The 20,427-nt window shown below is 38.5% G+C and overlaps 1 protein-coding gene and 1 pseudogene across 5 annotated transcripts in view, besides 1 other annotated feature; one reads left to right on the forward strand and one right to left on the reverse strand.

Annotated features, from left to right (window-relative positions):
- Positions 1–20,427, forward strand: part of ZNF678 (zinc finger protein 678) — a 116,114-nt gene that overhangs the window by 5,343 nt on the left and 90,344 nt on the right. For 3 of the 5 annotated variants that reach the window (NR_102302.2, NM_001367910.1, NM_178549.4), the window contains exon 2: positions 13,616–13,708. The exons of the other annotated variants lie outside the window; for them this stretch is intronic. Coding sequence is in view for 1 of the 3 variants with exons in the window: in NM_178549.4 (NP_848644.2) it covers positions 13,616–13,708 (93 nt within the window). In the remaining 2 variants the exon portion in view is untranslated. The remainder of the gene's footprint in view (positions 1–13,615; positions 13,709–20,427) is intronic. 5 annotated transcript variants of the gene reach the window in all.
- Positions 3,342–3,549, reverse strand: MRPL57P2 (mitochondrial ribosomal protein L57 pseudogene 2; annotated as a pseudogene).
- Positions 10,812–11,060: a silencer, noted in NCBI's record as "fragment chr1:227767411-227767659 (GRCh37/hg19 assembly coordinates)". NCBI's record gives its function as "represses an EF-1alpha promoter that drives an FKBP-Casp9 reporter gene in an ReSE screen in HepG2 liver carcinoma cells {active_cell/tissue: HepG2}" and the evidence as "EXISTENCE:reporter gene assay evidence [ECO:0000049][PMID:32094911]".

Consider the following 20,427-nt stretch of genomic DNA (forward strand, 5'->3'; position numbering starts at 1 on the left):
TCAAAAGTGCAGGAGCGGCAGCTGGAGGCAGATGCCCTTTCTTAGCGAAGGGAGGCTCTGTTCTGTACACAGGCTGTCACACTGCACTGTCCTGTGATTCCAGGTGTCCTCCCAAGATGAGAGGGGACTGAGGACTTAGAGGTGTTGCTGGAGTGCAATCATAGCTAACTGCAACCTGGAAATCTTGGGCTCAAGGACTTCCTGCCTCACCCTCTGGAATAACTAGGACTACAGGCATATACTACCATGCCTGGCTAATTTGTAAAGTTTTTGTAGAGACAGGGTCTCAGTATGTTGTCCAGACTGGTCTTGAACTCCTGGCCTCAAGGTTGCTTTCTACCTCAGCCTGCCAAGGTGCTAAGATTATAGGTGTGAACCCCCATGCCTGATCGGGACAACTTAATATGTATTTTTTCTTCTGCTTCTTGAAATATATGCAAATTTTTTTTACCAGCTAAATAAATTTGAATCATTCTTTTTAACTCATGGTTGTCTTTATCTAAGACCTGGATTCTGTTGCATTGTTTTTTGTTTGTTTTTTGATTTGGCAGAAATTTATTGTTTTTAAAATTTTTAAAGTTGATTAAGAGCACGCAAAAGTTGAGCCCAAAGAATAGATCTTTCACCACATTGGTTGAATTTATTGCTAAGAAATCTATTATTTTGTTGCTATTGTAAATTAGTTTTTTTTACTGGTTTATTGCTACTCTGTATAAACAAAACTGATATTTGTATGTTAATTGTATATTCTGCTACTTTACTGAATGCATTTATTAGTTTAAGCTATTTCTTGGTGGACTATTTATGATTTTACATATATAAGATTATGCCATCTACAAACAGTGACTTTTTTTCTTCTTTTCAATTTTGATCTTCTACGTTTTCTTGCTTAATTATCCTACGTAGGACTTCCAGTTCTATGTTCAAATAGAACCATTAGAATGGTCATAATATAGACTTGCATTGGTGTTTGTGCATTTGGAGGAGCAAACACCTCTTTTCATTTTTATGAACTGGTTTCAGTAGGTAAAGATCTTCATCTTTTGGGTCTCAAGCCTGATGAGATCTTTTCTGGGCTTGCAGTAAAAAGGGTTGTAGCTGGGTCACAAAGTTGCTGCCAAATCTGGAGTGGGTTTTACCTTTAGTGGGCTTATTACCAGGAGCACATGTGGTTGTGAGTCCTATCATGTTTTTGGGCAGACTGGATTGTCTTCAGGGCTTTCTGTGGAGCAGGCACTAGGGCAGGGTTCTGCTATATGGTGGGCCTAATACCAGATGCGTGGATGAGTGTGGCTCCCACTGAGTACCTAGCAAGGTTTCCCCAGGTTATCTACAAACAGTGACTTTTGAACTGTTTTGTGTGGGTCACTAGTATGATGCCCTCAGCTTTTTTCTTATTCCTCATGATTGGTTTAGCCATTCAGTATTTCTTGTAGTTCTATGTACATTGTAGGCTTGCCTTTTCTGTTACTATGAAAAGTGGCACAGGAGTTGTGATAGGGATTTGAGTTAACTTACAGATTGCTTTGGATAATATGACACTTCATTAATCAAAGGGCCTGTCTTCTCAAAGTGACTCTTCTTGATCTTGGGTTTTAGCACAGTTTCCTAATGCCCTGTATCCCAAAGCTCACTATACTGTCCAGGCTGTTCTTGAACTCCTGGCCTGAAGCAGCCCTCCTGCCTCAGTCTTCTGAATGGAGGGGATTACTGTCATGAGCCACTGTGCCTGGCTCTCTCATAAAGTTACTTTGGTTAATGGATGGCTGACTAGTTTTTTTTTTTTTACTGCAAGGGAATATAAAAGTAGGGAACTCCTATTCCATCATCTTGATAATGTCACTGTCTCCATACATTTCTGCCTTATTTTGTTCTCCTGTATGTTTGTGTGTTATTTTAGGTTCAAACATTAAGAACAACATGGTAGAATTTATACATTGTGTAAAAAGTAAATTAGATAGCTAGTAGGTACTCTATATATATTATAATATTCACCTGTAAGATTAAGTTTAGTGCAGACAAAAGGGCTCATTAAGATTTTCATCCACTTTTTTCAACCTCTGTCCAAACTATAATATAGTTTATGCCCAAATTTTTATTTTATCAGTTACTCTTAACCATATTTCACAAAATTTGTATTTTTTAAATTTAGAAATGTGAGGCTATTATTTGCTTTTAAAGGCTGTATTACAGGTTATTTATTTTGTAAAATAATAGTATCAATGTATTAGTAATATAAATAGTTATTTGTAGTGTAAATACTTATTCATTAAAATTTTGACATTAGAGAATTTTATTAATTATTGTAGCACATTTTCTGTAAAATTGTACTGCCATACACCACAGGGCAATGATTCAGAATGCCTGGTCTTCATAGATGCACAGTCACATATGAACATGGTAGTTATTTAGAAAAATTCTTTTCTAGTGTTGTATCCATGTTCCAAACAAGATTTTATGGGTAAATGTTTCTCTCATTCTAGTTTTACAGTTCCATGTTGACTGTATTTTTATTTTAGGGTAGGTTCCTTGACATCGGTTTATTGTATTCTTGGTTTTACCTAAGCATTATTTTGGATGACAATGTGCAGCTTTTTATGTACAGTTTATGTCAATTTGCAGTTTAATTGCAATATGAATTAGCCATATGTGTATTCACAATTCAATTTAAGTTCAACAGAGTTAATGAAAACTAAGCAAACTAATGTTACATGATAAAGCCCCAGTCAGCTGTCTTATACTTAAGCAAATACACCGAATAATAGTTTGTAGCTTTATTGCTGCTTTTGTTCAAACTATGTTTTATATCCTCTGTGACCAAGGAAATTTCTGATATTGTCCTATCAGGCTAAAGAAACAAAAAGCCGGGCGCGGTGGCTCATGCCTGTAATCCCAGCACTTTGAGAGGCCGAGGCAGGTGGATCACAAGGTCAGGAGATCGAGACCATCCTGGCTAACATGGTGAAACCCCGTCTCTACTAAAAATACAAAAAATTAGCTGGATGTGGTGGCGGGTGCCTGTAGTCCCAGCTACTCAGGAGGCTGAGGCAGGAGAATGGCGTGAACCTGGGAGGCAGAGCTTGCAGTGAGCCAAGATCGCACCACTGCACTCCAGCGTGGGCAACAGAGCGAGACTCCGTCTCAAAAACAAACAAACAGACAGTGATTATACTTTCAAGTGGCAGTTTATCCCAGATACTCCATATGTAGACAACTATGCTCATATTTGTTTGTTTTAATAAGGCTGTGGTCCAAAACCTTACGTTTTTATAGAAATTAAAGCTTTTCAGTTCCATTCTAAAGAAAGGACAGCCCCATGATCTAAATCCAAAGGTGATGGCTTAGAGTGAGGACCATTTCTTGTTGACATGGAGATGGTTGAGATGGTCTACAATAAATCTATGGGAGAAGCAGGTTGTGATGACTTGGAAGTGTTGGCTGCCTTCATGGTCTCAAAGTTCTTTGCCAAGTTCACCTCAGCAGTGCTGTACTGTTCTGCTGTCAGATTGGGAATGCTTGGCCAGTAGTGGTTCTCTGCATGGTCCAAAACTGCGGATGCTTCCTTGATACACTGCCTGCCAGAAATGCAATTGTAGCAAAGGAGGTCGGTAAGGGGACAGAAACTAGCTGGCCACTGCCTGGTGGGGAAGAGCGATGGGCACCCAATCCTAGCTCACATGCCAAGTGCCATCATCATCCCGGTACCCAGGGGTGTCTCCCATAATGTGCACTGCCTGGCCTTATGTAAATAGAGAGCTCAGCTAAGGCCTAAAGTTGTAAAGGGGCCTTTCCGGAGCCCCAAGTGTGCTGGACAACTCACTAGCCATGGAAAGAGCCTGGTTCCTTGTGGCCACAGAGAGGCAATGATTGCTGCATGCCCACATGGCAAGGCCTTCTGGAGTCTTCATGTGAGAGTTCAGCTCTGGCAACAGAGGACATTTCCGGTGTTAGAGATTCTCAGTGTCTGGCAGGTGGGAAACTGATTGATGGCATCTGCTGGCTTCTAGAGCACTGCCTGGCGGTCCTTATCTGTGGGCCCCAGCCAAGGCACTTCAGAAAGCTTGATCTCCGGCTAGCATTCTGGACTGCGAGACAGCCTGGCTACAGCTAGCGCTGGATGGAGAGAGTAGAGTGTGGTGAGGTGGGAACAGTGTGCATTCTGCCACGTGGCATGGGGTTTCTTGTGATTCTGAACTACCCAGGTGCGGTGACAAGAAGGCAATCAGGGAGTGGAAACAGTCCAACTCACACACATGGTTATTTATTGTCAGTAGAGAGAAGTTCATTGAAGGAGATACAGCGTGGGGGTGGTGCATTAACGTAATTCTCAGGGCTGAAAATGCCACCTTTTAATAATTTTTTTTGTAGGACCCCACAAGTGTGTCATTGTCTGTTTTTAATTCCATGTACAAACATAGTGCTCTCCTCAAATAATGAAAGTAGCACTATTATTATATTGGGAAGAGTGCGGCAGCACTTACGAATAAAAGCCCATTGACAGATTGAGCTCATAATGCATACACTAATTTATTCATGATATGATTTCAGGTCATGCATAATGTGTGCTTGTTAATAAAAATATGAATTTAAAAAATTAAACAGTTTCTCTTAAAATGCAGCTATTTTAGCATTGCTCTTTACATTATACCTAACATATATAAGGGTTTTTGACTCACACAAATGGTCCACAGTTTTAGTAAATGTCTATTTTTTCCCAGTAAACCATATTCTTAATACAAATGTTAGCACTCAGTACTGCTTTTTATTTTTATTTTTTATTTGTAACTTTTAAGTTCAGGGGTACATGTGCAGGTTTGTTACATAGGTAAGCTTGTGTCATGGGAGCTTGTTGTACAGATTATTTCATCATCCAGGTATTAAGCCTAGTATTCATTAGTTATTTTTTCTGATTCTCTCCCTCCTCCCACTTCTACCATCAGATAAGTCCCAGTGTCTTTTGTTCCTTTCCATGTGTCCATGTGTTCTCATCATTTAGCTTCCACTTACAAGTGAGAATATGCAGTATTTGTTTTTCTGTTCCTGTGTTATTTTGCTAAGGATAATGGCCTTCACCTCCAATCAGGTTCCTGCAAAGGGCATGATCTCATTCTTTTTTATGGCTGCCTAGGATTTCATGGTGTATATGTACCACACTTTCTTTATTCAGGCTATTATTGATGGGCATTTAGGTTGACTCCATGTCTTTGCAATTGTGAATAGTGCTGCAGTGAACATATACATGCATTTGTCTTTATAATAGAATGATTTATATTCCTTCAGGTAATACCCAGTAATGAGATAGCTGGGTCAAATGGTATTTCTGTTTTTAGTTCTTTGAGGAAGCACCACACTGTCTTCCACAATAGCTGAACTAATTTACACTCCCACCAACAGTGTATAAGGATCTTTTTCTCTGCAACCGTGCCAGCATTTGTTACTTTTTGACTTTTTGATAATAGCCATTCTGACTGGTGTGAGATGGTATGTCATTGTGGTTTTCATTTGCATTTCTCTAATGATCAGTTATGTTGAGCATTTTGAAATATGATTTTTGGTTGCATGGATGTTTTCTTTTGAAAAGCGTCTGTTCATTTCCTTTGCCCACTTTTTAATGGAGTTGTGTTTTGGTTTTTTTTAAGTTCCTTATAGATGCTGGATATTAGACCTTTGCCAGGTGCGTAGTTTGCAACAGTTTTCTCCCATTCTGTAGGTTGTCTGTTCCTCTGTTGATATTTTTCTTTTCTGGGTAGAAGCTCTTTAGTTTAATCAAATCCCATTTGCCAATTTTGCTTTTGTTGAAATTGCTTTTGGCGCCTTTGTCATGAATTCTTGGCCCATTTTTATGTCCTGAATGATACTGCCTAGGTTGTCTTCTGGGGTTTTTATAGTTTTGGGTTTTACATGTAAGTGTTCTATCCATCTTAAGTTAATTTTTGTGCATGATGTAAGGAAGGGGTCCAATTTCAATCTTCTGCAAACGGCTAGCCAGTTATCCCAGTAACATTTATTAAATAGGGAATCTTTTCCCCATTGCTTATGGGGTTTTTTGTTGTTGTTGTTGTTGTGATATAGTCTCACTCTGTTGCCCAGACTGGAGTGCAGTGGCACCCATTGCTTATTTTTATCAGGTTTGTCGAAGATCAAATAGTTGTATAGTTGTAGGTGTGCAGCCTTATTTCTAGGTTTTCTGTTCTATTCCATTGGTATATGTGTTTGTTCCAATACCATGCTGTTTTGGTTATTGTAGCCCTGTAGTATAGTTTGAAGTTGGGTAGCATGATGCCTCCAGCTTTGTTCTTTTTGCAAGGGATTGCCTTGGCTATTCAGGCTATTTTTTTGGTCTATATGAATTTTAAAATAGTTTTCTCTAGTTCTGTGAAGCATCTCATTGGTAGTTTAATAGAAATAGCATTGAATCTATAAATTGTTTTTGGGCAGTATGGCCATTTTTACAATACTGATTTTTTTTCTATCTTAAGCATGGAATGTTTTTCCGTTTGTTTGTGTTGTCTAATTTTTTGAGCAGCATTTTATAGTTCTCCTTGTAGAGATCTTTCACCTTCCTAGTTAGCTGTATTTCTAGGGATGTTACTCTTTTTTGTGGCAGTTGTGAGTGGGATTGTGTTCTTTATTTGGCTCTCGGCTTGGCTGTTGTTGGTATATGGCAATGTTAGTTATATTCACACGTTGATTTTGTATCCTGAGACTTTACTGAAGTTGTTTGTCAGCATAGGGAGATTTTGGGGCGAGACCGTGAGATTTGTTAAGTATAAGATCATGTCATCTGCAAACAGGTATAGTTTGACTTCCTGTCTTCCTATTTGCATGCCCATTATTTTTTTCTCTTGCCTGATTGCCCTGGCCAGGACTTCCATTACTATGTTGAATAGGAGTGGTGAGAGAAGGCATCCTTGTCTTGTGCCAGTTTTCAAGGGGAATGCTTCAAGCTTTTGCCCATTCAGTATGATATTGGCTGTGGGTTTCTTGTATATGGCTCTTATTATTTTGAGGTATGTTCCTTCAATATCTAGTTTATTGAGAGTTTTAATCATGAAGCATTGTTGAATTTTATTGAAGGCCTTTTCTGCATCTATTGAGATAATCATGTTATTTTTGTCTATAGTTCTGTTTATGTGATAGATCACATTTGTTGATTTCCATATGTTGAACTAAACTTGCATCCCGGGGATAAAGCCTACTTGATCATGGTGGATAAGCTTTTTGATGTGCTGCTGGATTCAGTTTGCCAGTATTTTGTTGAGGCTGAGGTTTTTGCATTGATGTTCATCAAAAGTATCAGCCTGAAGTTTTCTTCTTTTGTTCTGCCTCTGCCAGGTTTTGGTATCAGGATGATGCTGGCTTCAGAGAATGTGTTAGGGAGCAGTCCCTTCTCCTCAAGCTTTTGGAAGAGTTTCAGCAGGAATGGAACCAGCTGTTCTTTGTACATCTGGTAGAATTCAGCTGTTAATTTGTCTTGTCCTGTGCTGCTTTTTGGTTGGGAAGATATTACTCAATTTCAGAGCTCACTATTTGTCTGTTCAGGGTTTGAATTTATTCCTAGTTCAGTCTGGGGAGGGTGTGTGTGTCCAGGAATGTATCCATTTCCTCTAGATTTTCTAGTTTATGTGCATAGAGGCATACATAATATTTTCTAATGATTGGTTGTATTTCTGTGGCATCAGTGGTAATATCCCCCTTGTCGTTTTCTATTATATTTATTTGAATCTTCTCTCTTTTTTACTTTATTAGGCTAGCTCATGGTCTATTTTATTAATTAAAAAGAAAATGCCTCCAGGATTTGCTGATCTTTTGAATTGTTTTTCATGTCTCAGATTTCTTCAGTTCAGCTCTGATTTTGGTTATGTCTTGCCTTCTGCTAGCTTTGGGATTTGTACTTGGTTCTCTAGTCATTTTAGTTGTGATGTTAGGTTGTTAATTTGAGATCTTTCTAACTTTTTGATGTTGGCATTTAGTGTTATAATTTTCCATCTTAGCACTGCCTTAGCTGTGTCTTAGAGATTCTGGTATGTTGTATCTTTATTCTCATTAGTTTCAAAGAACTTCCTGACTTCCACCTTAATTTTATTATTTGCCCAAAAGTCATTCAGAAGCAGATTATTAAATTTCCATGTAATTATATGGTTTTGAATGGTTTTGAGTGAATTTCTTAGTCTTGATTTTTAGTTTGATTGTGTTGTGGTCTGAGAGATTGTTATGATTTCAGTTGTTTTGCATTTCCTAAGGAATGTCTTTCTTCTGATTATGTGATTGATTTTACAGTATGTGCCATGTGGCTATGAGAAGAATATGTATTTTGTTGGTTTTGGGTGTACAGTTCTGTGGATATCTATCAGGTCCATGTGATCCAGTGCTGAGTTCAAGTCCTGAATATCTTTGTTTATTTTCTGTCTCAATGATCTAATACTGTCAGTGGGGTATTAAAGCCCCCTACTATTACTGTGTGGGAGTCTAAATTTCTTTGAAGGTCTCTAAGAACTTGCTTTATGAATCTGTGTGCTTCTGTGCTGGGTGCATGTGTATTTAGGATAGTTAGATATTCTTATTGAATTGAATCTTTTACTATTATGTAATGCCCTTCTTTGTCTTTTTTGATCTTTGTTGGTTTAAAATCTGTTTTGTCAGGAACTAGGATTGCAAACCTTGCTTTTTTCTGTGTTTTATTTGCTTGGTAGATTTTCCTCCATCCCTTTATTTTTAGCCTAAATGTATCATTGTGTGTGAGATGGGTCTCTTGAAGACAGCATACCAGTGGGTCTTGGTTCTTTATCTATCTTGACATTCTGTGTCTTTTTATTGGGGCATTTAGTCCATTTCCATTTAAGGTTAGTATTAAAATGTATGGTTTTGATCCTGCCATCATGATGGTAGCTGTTTATTTTGCAGACTTGTTCATGTGGTTGCTTTATAGTGTCACTGGTCTGTGTACTTCAGTGTGTTTTTGTAGTGGCTGGTAACAGTCTTTTCTCTCCATATTAAGTGCTTTTTTCAGGAGTTTTTGTAAGGCAGATCTGGTGGTAATCAATTCCCTCAGCATTTGCTTGTCTTAAAAGGATCTTATTTCTTTTTTGCTTATGAATCTTAATTTGGCCGAATATGAAATTCTGGGATGGAATTTCTTTTCCTTAAGAATGTCGAATATTGGTCCCCAGTCTCTTCCGGCTTTTAAGGTTTCCGTTGAGAGGTCCACTTTTAGTCTGATGGGCTTCCCTTTGTAGGTTACCTGACCTTTCTCTCCAGCTGTCTTTAACATTTTTCCTTTTATTTCAACCTCAGAGAATCTGATGATTATATGTCTTAAAGATGATCTTGTTTTGATGTGTCTTACTGGTGCGTTCTGCATTTTTTGAATTTGAATGTTGGCCTCTCTAGCTATGTTGGGAAAGTTCTCGTGGATGACATCCTGAAATACGTTTTCCAACTTGCTTTCATTCTCCCCATTTCCTTCAGGGACACCAGTGAGTCTTAGATTCATTCTCTTTACATAACATGATATATCTTGGATGTTTTATTTGTTCCTTTTAACTCTTTTTTTTACACTATTCTTGTCTGATTGTCTTATTTTAGAAAGTCAGTCTTCAAGCACTGAGATTCTTTTCTCCATTTGGTGTATTCTGCTATTAATACTTGTCATTGCATTACAAAATTCTTGGAATGGGTTTTTTAGTTCTGTCACAGTTATGTTCTTTTCTATACTGGCTATTTTGTCTGACAGCTCTTGCATTGTTTTGTCATGATTTTTAGCTTTCTTGCATTAGGTTTCAATGTATGCCCATAGCTCAGATGATCTTCATTTCTATCCATATTCTGAATCCTATTTCTGTCATTTCAGTGATCTCAGCTTGGTTCAGAACCCTTCTTGGAGAGGTGACACAGCCGTTTGGAGGAAAGAAAGCACTCTAGCTTTTTGGGCATTCAGGGTTCTTGCACTGATTGTTTCTCATCTTTGTTAGTTTATCTACCTTCAATCTTTGAGGTAGCTGGCCTTTGGATGCGCTTTCTTCTTCTTCTTTTATTGTATTTGATTGCCTTGAGAATTTGATTGTGGTAAAATGTGGATTCAGCCAACTGGTTTTGTTTCTGGCAGATTTTAGGGGGCCAGCACTCAGTTCCCAAATCTTGGACTTTGTGCTCTCTGGGAGACTTGTATTGAACCTTGTTTGTTTTCTGGCTCCTGGAGGTTTGGAATCCACTGCACTGTATATATGGTGGGGGGTGAGGTGCAGCAGCTGCAGCAGAGTGCTAGTGGGTGCTGGGGTGCTTGCCATGCTACAGGCGTTCATTGGAATGGTGAAGGCAATACAGCTGGGGTTAGGAGTGGTGGGAGTCCCTGTTGCAGAGTGTGTGTGCCATTGTGCTGGAGGTGGTGTTGGCTTAGGGCCAGGGTGCTAGTGGTGCAGGTCTGGGTGCTTAATCTGTGCCCTACAAGCACAGATTGCTCAGGAGTGTTGCTCAGGGGAAGACCCACTGTTCTCTGTGCAGTGTTAGTGCAAGGGTGGGGTGCTAGTGTGGGTAGGGCTTGCTGGCTCTGTGCCTGCCAAGGCTGAATCTGCAATGGTGGTTGGTGGGGGGGTCCACCAGCACAGGTGGACAATTAAAGTAAAACCTGCCCATATAGACATGCACCAGCAAAGTGATGTGGGAAGTTACCATGGCCCTGGGGGAAGCTGCAGTATGGGGAGGGAACAGACAGGCTTGTGCATGGTCATAGGGGTCATCTCGCTGGAGGTCTTCACCAGTCGGGCATAGTGCATCAGTGCAAAAGCTACAGTGTGGGCCCCCAGGACACCCAAGACTGCCCTGCAAGCAGACATGGCCAGGCTGGGGCCCCAGGACAGGCCAGCAGACCAAGGGATGCTCAGGTCAGACCAGCGCCATCTGATAGGCAAGACAGCCCTGTGGAGATCAGATCTGACAGTTCCCCTGGGCTGCTAAAGTCTCCTACTGGAGCAAGTTGAGCCTGTGGGGATGGTTGGCCAAGTCCACACTTCACTACAGATGCTTCTTTATCAAACCCTTTGGGCTCTGCATCAGCTGGCTTGCTATCTCTACCAAGTAGGGGTTGCAGCTCTAAGGGACAGCAGCTCTCCCTGCTAACTCAAGTGTCTCTGGTGGTCGAGGGGTCTCTTCCTGCTCGGGGTTCCAGAGGCCTGTGAGAGTGGATTGCTTCTTGACAGTTCAACTTGTTCTCCTGGAGCTATTGTGGTCCAAAAATGAGTCCCGGTGTACAGTAGCCCCATGCATTGTTTCCAGCTTTCTGCTGCTTCAGACCAGCTTCTGTGTCTTCCCTCTGTCCACTCTCAGCGCCTTTCCTCTGAAGATCTGTTAAAAGCATACCTGTCATCTCAGTCCCTCTGTGAGAGCTGTTCTACCTGGCTGCATCTAGTTGGCTATCTTGCCCTCCCCTGCTGCTTTTTAAAATAAAGCAAAATTGACTTTCATTAGTCATACTTTCACCTTTAATACTAAAGCAAATGATATAAAATTGAAGTTATTCAAACCTAAATATTTTTGACAGAAATTATATCCATATTTCTGGAAAAGCTGTTAATGTCCTGATACACAGTGAATTTTTGTTTTCATTACTTTTGATGCCTTTATGAAACTAAGGGCTTCCTTGAGTCTCTAGTCTTTCTGTCAAGAACATTAACATCATTCTTTTATGAGGAATGAAAGTACATGATAATTTATCTAACTTCTAAGTCTATTTTGGCCAAAAATTACCACAAAAGGCCAGGCACGGTGGCTAATGCCTGTAATCTCAGCACTTTGGGAGGCCAAGGCAGGCGGATCATCTGAGGTCGGGAGTTCTAGACCAGCCTGACCAACTACTAAAAATACCCGTCTCTACTAAAAATACAGAATTAGCCAGGCGTGGTGGTGCATGTCTGTAATCCCAGCTACTTGGGAGGCTGAGGCAGGAGAATTGCTTGAACTTGGGAAGCGGAGGTTGCAGTGAGCTGAGATCCCGCCTTTGCACTCCAGCCTCAAGAACGAAACTCCCTCTCAAAAAAAAAAAAAAATTTTACCACAGAAAATTGATAAATTAATATTGCAAGAGTGATACATTTAGAGTATGGACTTCTATATAAAGGTCATGTACAATTTTCACTGGATAATTTTCAAAGTCTTCAATATGAATGCTGAAATGAAAAAGGTTTAATAAATATGAAGAAAAGGAGGAAAAAGAATAGAAAATGTAGTATGGTTTCTTAGAAATATAAAATCCTTATATTTATTTATAATTTGTATCCTGTCAATTGCTAAGAAAAGTATTAGGGCTTGTCATTAAAATTATATTGAAGTATATTATACATATATAAATATACATAAGTTATAAGTATATAGCTTGATAAATGTTAGAAAATTCTGCAACATACCTAGGTAACTAGCCCTCAGTTCAAGAAGGAGAGCATTAAAAAGAGGAATAAAGAAAGAAAAGAAGGAAGGAAGGAAGAGAGGAAAAGAAAGAAAGGAAAAATTAAAGGAAGCATGGATTACTAGAAATCTAGATGCCCTCTTGTAGTTTCTGCCTATCCACCAAGTGCAAACATTACCCTGATTTCTAAAACCATTAAGTAGTTTTGTCTATTTATGAACTTTATGGTCATAAAATGTGTACTCTTTATGATTGGCTTCGTTCACTCAACATTCTTAGTGGCGCATTGCTTCTTTTTCATCCATAATCTAATCTATCTATACTTATTGCTGTATTGTATTCCATTGTATAAAATCAACTTGTATTGTTGATAAAATTTCGATTGTGTCTAGTTTGGGACTATTATGAATACTCTTGCTTTGAACTTTTTAGTGCATGTCTTTGTTGCCAAGGTAGTCACATTGCTGTATGCTAGAGACCTAGAAAAAGTGCTAGATTATAGGTTATGCGTATGTTCAGCTTTAGTATATACTGCCAAATGGTTTTCTAATGTGGTCCTTACAATTTACATTTCCACCAGCAGCGCATGAGAGTTTCATTTGTTGTACACCTTGGCAAACATTTCGTATGTTTTCTTTTTTCATGTTAATTATTTTGGTGGCTATGTAACTGAACTGCATTGAGATATAATTTGCATTTCCTTGATAACTAATAAAGTTGATGTCATTTTATATGTTTAATGGCCATCTGAAGGTAATTTTTCTTAAGTATCAGTTTAAGACTTTTGCATTGTTATATTGCATTGTCTACCTTTTTCTTATTAATTTGCAAATACTCTATACATTCTGGATACAAGTATATTGTCAGATATATACACACGCACACACACACACACGAATATCTTCTTCCACTCTAGTTTTTTATTTTCTTAATTTTGATAATAATTTCTTAAATTGAATGTAGTCACATCAATTTTTCTTTTTTTCTGGTTATTTTTGTTAATTAATTTGTTATTATATATGTATATATGTGTGTATGAGATAGGTTTTACTCTGTCACCCTTGGTGAAGTGCATTGACATTGTCATAGCTGACTGTAGCCGCAAACTTCTGGACTTAAGCAATCCTTCAATCCTTCCATCTCAGCTTCCCAGGTAGCTAGGACCACAGGGGCATGCCACTTGCCCAGCTAATTTTTTTTTTTTTTTTTTTTTTGTAGAGACGCATTCTCACTATGTTGCCCAGGCTGGTCTTGAACTCCTTCCCTCAAGTGATTCTTCTGCCTAATCCTCCCAAAGTTCTTAGATTACAGGTATGAGACACCACACCTGGTCCTGGTTTCTATTTTTAAAAGTTTTGCCAATTATAATACATATGTCACTCTTATGTTTTCTTCTAAGAGCTTTATAATTTTAACTTTTGCATTCAGAGCTACAGTCATCTATAATCAATTTATGTGTGTGGCCTGAGATAAGAATCAAGATCTTTTCTGTGTGTGTGTGTGAATGTCTAATAGGCTTGGCACCACTAGTGCCAGTATAAGACATTATTTACTTACTGCACTGTCAACTTTGTCATTAATAAGTTGGTCATATATATTTTGTAAAAGTAGTTCTTAAAAGGATTATATTTTAGTTGAAGGTTAATTGGCAATTTCTGATAGGTAAAGTCCCTAGTTTTGTTTGTTCTGTTTATATTGCATTCTGGCTTTCTTACTTAGAAACCTAAAGCACTGGAACTGCCACTATAATAGCCTCCCTGTTAAGATTTTTAAACACTTGTTTTTATTTATTTTACTTATTATGTATCCGTTGCTCTGACTCCTTAGAAATAATAGATCCGTTGGGTCTATTATTTCTAAGTTCTATTGGTAACCTTTACATCTAATAACTGTTCACAGCATACCTGATGTCTTATTCCATGTATGATTCAGTAGACATCCAGGCAACAAATATTATATTTATGAACCCCTACTATTAATTCTTCCTTTTCTATAATGATAACTTTGCAACAATTCAATAAGTCCATTTTAGAAAATTTCTTTTTTTTTCTTTTTTCTTTTTTTTTTTTTTTTTGAGACAGAGTCTTGCCTTGTCGCCCAGGCTGGAGTGCAGTGGCACAATCACAGCTCCCTGCAACGTCCACCTCCCAGGTTCAAGCAATTCTCATACCTTGGCCTCCCAAGTAGCTGGGATTACAGGCAATTCCACTTTTGATTTAACTTTGTCAGGAGTTCCTTGACCACTGTCAGAATTGATGACTCATTAGAAAAACTAAAAACACTTAGAAAAACTGTTACATTTATGGCTACAATTTATTAAATAGAAAAGATACAGATTATATTTAGGGAAAAAAAAATAGGAGGTAGGAAAGCTTTCAAAGGAGACCAAGTGCATGCCTCCAGTTGTCCTGTCACAGTGGAGTCACACAAGCAGTACATAATTTTCCCAGTCATAATGTGACATGTGCAAAGTTTTGCCAAGTAGAGAAACCAACCAGAGTCTTGGTGTCCAAAGTATTTTGTTGGGATTCAATTGCATAGGCATGCATTGGGCACATGATTGGCTCTAGCTACTCAATCACCATTTCTACTGTAGAGATCAAACTAATACAGCATGGCCCAGAGACCCATGCATCCAAAAACAAGAGATTCACTTCCACTTATATGGTTAGAATCATATATCTGTTGCTGCCCAAGACCTCAAGTGAGCTAAGACAATCTTTCTTATCAGGTAGAATTTTCCAAGGTTGTGGAGGTTACCTTCTAGGGGCAAGTCTAGAGCCAGTTCTGAAGACCTTTAAAATGTACATTGTTGGGGAAGTCCACACCAATTGAATTAACATTTTGTTGCAGAGCTTTATACTGTCATTGGGGCAGGATATTTTATATTGAATTATTTGTTCATTTGTCACAAGGCCTAAAGCAGTCAACAGCTCACTGTTGAATGAATACATGATTTCCAGGTACCTGTTCTCAGGCATGAAAATGTTCAAGGCTTAAATAGGAAAATTAATGACTACCTTGGTGATACAAGAACTTCCTTAAACGAACCGTTTATCCACTCTCCTCTCAAACCATTAATATTTAAAATATGCATAAATAAGCAAATATGACTATTAATTGAGATGAGCTAACAACTGAGAATTCTGAAAAAAACTACAGCTAGGTATTTACCTTGCTCTATCTCCAGCTAAGGCTGATCACTTTTGGCTGTCCATGTGTGAGGAACACTATTTACAAATTACATGTCAAACATGTTAAAAAATATTCCATGATACTTGTTAAAGCATAATGAGAAACACTTTATTCAGAATAATAAGATGGGTATAGACACCACTGCAGTAAGATTTTGTAGTTGGGGAGAAAGATTGTGCTCAACTCTAAATACAGACAGTATGGATAAGTAAGAACTTATAGGCAAGGAGCAGGCTAAGGGTTGATGGGTGAAAACTTACTAAGAGGAAACAAGGATGAGGGGTATTCTGGTTAAAGTGACCAAACCAATTCTTGCTGGGGACAGCCAGGGTGATCAGACTTGTGCGATGGCGGACAGTGAGAAACCTTATGAAACATTGAGGCTGATCAGATATTAAGGATGAAGTGTTCTTGCTAAACTGACTTTTCAAGGTAATTTGCTACAACTGAATTTTACAAGAAAGTTTATAGATGGGCCTAGAGTAAGGTACAGAAGTCTGACAACAGCAATAACAGAACAGGAGTCACTCTGAGAGAGACTTGAAACTAGGACCTAGAATTTGAATTACTTGCTTGATAAAGAAGAGACAAATTTTTTCTATTATGTTTTACTTGAAAATGTGATTTAAGACTGTAGAGTAGTAGAAGATGAGAAAAGGAGACAGAGCCTGCATCCATGACAAGGAGATGGCCAGTTAATCGTTTTCTGTCTAGATCTGTTATGTTAAACATGGGCTCGTGGACATCTGAGCTGAATTATGCATGGTCAGTGGAGCAAAACTATTGGAGGTGCCAAAGGTAGCATAGCTGAAAACACAGGTATCTTTGGGTAAATTTAGTCCCAATTAAGTAGGAAACGAATTAAAGTAATACATATCTATGAACCTTAAATGGCTAATAAGTGAATATATAAATTAATTTTGTGGAGAAATCAGGCAAACTGAGAAAGTATACATTAAACAGAAAATGTTAGAAATAGAAAACAAAATGCTTAAAGATCTTGGCCGGGCACGGTGGCACACACCTGTAATCCCAGCACTTTGGGAAGCTGAGGTGGGCAGATCACGAGGTCAAGAGATCGAGACCATACTGGCCAACATGTTGAAACCCCGTCTCTACTAAAAATTCAAAAATTAGCTGGATGTGGTGGCACATGCCTTTAGTCCTAGCTACTCAGGAGGCTGAGGCAAGAGAATCGCTTGAACCTGGGAGGTGGTTGGTGGTTGCAGTGAGCTGAGATCACACCACTGCACTCCAGCCTGGTGACAGAGTGAGATTCAGTCCCCCCAAAAAAAAACAAAAATGTGTATTCTCTAGACGTTTAAAAAATCCTCTCTCAAATCTAGAGCCAACAACTAATGAAACATAGGTTTCAGTGACCACTTAAGACAAAGAATAGAGCTTTAAAAATAAACAGAAATGATCACTAAATAAGTTACCACAACTCACAGCAAACAGCCACAAAGCCTAGGGAGGGAGGAGAATTTGATTTCCAGATTTACTACAGTATGGTATTCAACATGTCCACTTTTCAGCAATAAAAAATGATGAGCCAGGCAAGATGATTTGCGCTACAGGTCCCAGATAACTCAGGAGGCTGAGATGGAAGAATTGTTTAAGCCTAGGCATTTCAGTGCCCTATGATTGAGTCTGTGAATAACCACTGTACTGCAGACTGGGCAACATAGGAAGACCCCATCTCCAAAAAATAAAATAAATAAGCAAATAAAAAAATAATTAGTCATTCAAATGAACAACAAAATATTATTCACAGGAAAATACTAATGAATTAACAGAAACTGTCTTAGGAAGCACAGACGTAATATTTATTAAACTAAGCCTTTAAATCAACTTTCATAAGCATGTTTTAAAAGCCTAAAGAAAAATGAACAAAAAGTAAAGCAAGTGAGTAAAACAATGTTCCACCAAATAGAATATATCACTAAACAAATAGGGATTTTAAAAAAGTCAACCAAATAGAAATTCTAGAACAAAAGTATCCTAACTGAAATAAAAAATTTACTAGAGGGCTTTAACGGAGCACTTGAGCAAGCAGATAAACGAATTGATAAACTTAAAAATAAGTAACTAAGAGTCTGCTAAAAAGTAAGCACAAAAGAAAAAGGTAAGGCAGAAGTTTAGAAACAAAACTTTCAAAATCTCTGATTATCACCAACATTTAAACTCTGCTTGCAAGCACCACTCCCTCTGTGATTCTGTGTGGTGTCCAAGGTGTTTCTTCCTTGGCATGTGAGAATATGTAGTTAATAAGCTAAAGTCAGTTTTACCAGTGCCAGGCATCATGTGTTTGGTCATATTCTTAACCCTAATAGGCAATTTTTCCCTCATCAAGGTGGTGATCAGGAGGTAGATGAAACAAAGCATTCCCTAATTACTGTGGGGCAGGAATGTAAGGGAGAGCTCCACTTACAGTCTCCCTGAATGCAAAGCCCATGGGGGTGGGGTGATAGGCTGCACCTAAATGGCAGGATGAGAATGGAAGACAGAGCCCTGTTCAGTATTTGCTTTAACAGTGCATTCAATTCAATTTGGGTTGGGAGAAGCTAGGCCTCAATATTGCAGGGTGAGGATGAAAGAGTTCTGCTCCTAGTTTTTGTAACACTAGCACTGTGGAAAGAGAAGTGTTATGTCTTACTTGTGTGTGATGTTTGCCAGAATATGAAAAAGTGTCGTCAAGTAATCACTTTCTGCATAGGCCATCTTTATCCCATGCTTCTTTGGCTAGAGAGAGCATGTTAGATTTTTTTTTTTTTTAATTCTTTTTCAGTTGCCTTTTCCAGGTTACTGTGTTCTCTGCTACTGAACCAGGATATATAGGAGGCAAAACAAAACAAAACAAAACAAAACAAAAGACATACCCAGGGCAGTAGCCGTTAAACCACTCCTGCTGTTCCAAGTTAGTCTGCCTTCTTTTCTGTACTTTCAGAGTCTTTAGACTGATGCTTTATAAGTTTTTACAAGCCCATTGCTATAATTTTTGAGAATAGAATAGAGTTTGCTTATCCTATCTTGTCTAGAACCAAAAGTTTCAACTTTTGGTGTGTCAAGAACATTTTGAGATATTTAAATCCATTTTATCTTGTATTTCCTGCATTAAGCAGTAGCCTGTCAGTTCTTACACCTTCTAAACTGCTGCAGACTCCTGAAATTTTGGGTATCATCACTGCATTTACAAAGTGCATGATGCAGCCAAAGATGTTAGGGGAAGTTATGGGTAAAATTTGGAGCTTCTCCTCCATGCCTTCTTATCTGGAACATCTCTCTACATTTTAGCCACTGTGGAAACCCTGAAATTCACCCTTTCCTTTTTTTTTTTTTTTTTCAAGACTTTAAAAAAAATTCAGGGGTACATGTGCAGGATGTGTAGGTTTGTTGCATAGATGTGTGCCATAGTGGTTTACTGCACAGATCATCCCATCACTTAGGTATTAAGCCCAGCATCCATTAGCTATTCTTTCTGATGTTTTCCCTCCCCCCAGCCCCCCAACAGGTGCCCAGTGTGTGTTGTTCCCCCAACATGTTCATGTTTTCTCATCAATTAGCTCCCACTTATAAGTGAGAACCTGCAATGTTTGGTTTTCTGTTTCTACATTAGTTTGCTGAGAATAATGGTTTCCAACTCCATCCGTGTCCCTGCAAAGGACATGATCTCATTCCTTTTTATGGCTGCATAGTATTCCATGGTGTGCATGTACTATATTTTCTTTATCCAGTCTATCATTGATGGGCATTTAGGTTGATTCTATGACTTTGCTATTGTAAATAGTACTACAGTGAACATACATGTGCATGTATCTTTATAAAAGAATGATTTATATTCTTTTGGGTGTACATCTGGTAATGGGATTGTTGAGTCAAGTGGTATTTCTGCCCCTGGGTCTTTGAGGAATCGCCACACTGTATTCCACAATGGTTGAACTAATTACACTCCCACCAACAGTGTAAAAGTGCTTCTTTTTCTCCACAACCTCACCAGCATCTGTTGTTTTTTTTACTTTTTTTTTTTGGAAACACAGTCTCACTCTGTCACCAGGCTGGAATATAATGGCATGATGTCAACTCAATGCAACCTCCACCTCCTGTGTTCAAGTGATTTTCATGCCTCAACCTCCTGAGTAGCTGGGATTACATGGTGGCATGCACCACCATGCCCAGCTATTTTTTTCTATTTTTTAATAGAGGCAAGGTTTCACTTGTTGGCCAGGCTGGTCTTGAACTCCTGGCCTCAAGTGATCCACCTGCCTCGGCCTCCCAAAGTGCTGGGATTACAGGTGTAAGCCACTGCCCCCAGACTGTTTTTTGACTTTTTAATAGCCATTTTGATTGGCATGAGATGGTATCTCACTGTGGTTTTCATTTGCATTTTTCTCATGATCAGTGATGTTAAGCTTTTTTTTTTTTCATATGTTTATTGGCTGCATGTATGTCTTCTTTTGAGAAGTGTCTGTTCATGTCCTTTGCCCACTTTTTAATAGGGTTGTTTTTTTCTTGTAGATTTGTTTACATTCCTTGTAGACTCTGAATATTGGACCTTTGTCAGATGGATAGATTTCAAAAATTTTCTCCCATTCTGTAGGTTGTCTGTTCACTCTGATGATCATTTCTTTTGCCGTGCAGAAGCTCTTTAGTTTAATTAGATCCCATTTGCCAATTTTTGCTTTTGTTGCAATTGCTTTTGGCATTTTCATCATGAAAACTTTGCCTGTGCCTATGTGCTGAATGGTACTACCTAGATTTTCTTCTAGGGTTTTTATAGTTTTGGGTTTTACAAATGTAAAAGTCTTTAATCCATCTTGAGTTAATTTTTGTGTATG

The sequence above is a fragment of the Homo sapiens genome, chromosome 1 (genome assembly GCF_000001405.40).
Source record: "Homo sapiens chromosome 1, GRCh38.p14 Primary Assembly".
NCBI classification, from domain to species: Eukaryota; Metazoa; Chordata; class Mammalia; order Primates; family Hominidae; genus Homo; species Homo sapiens.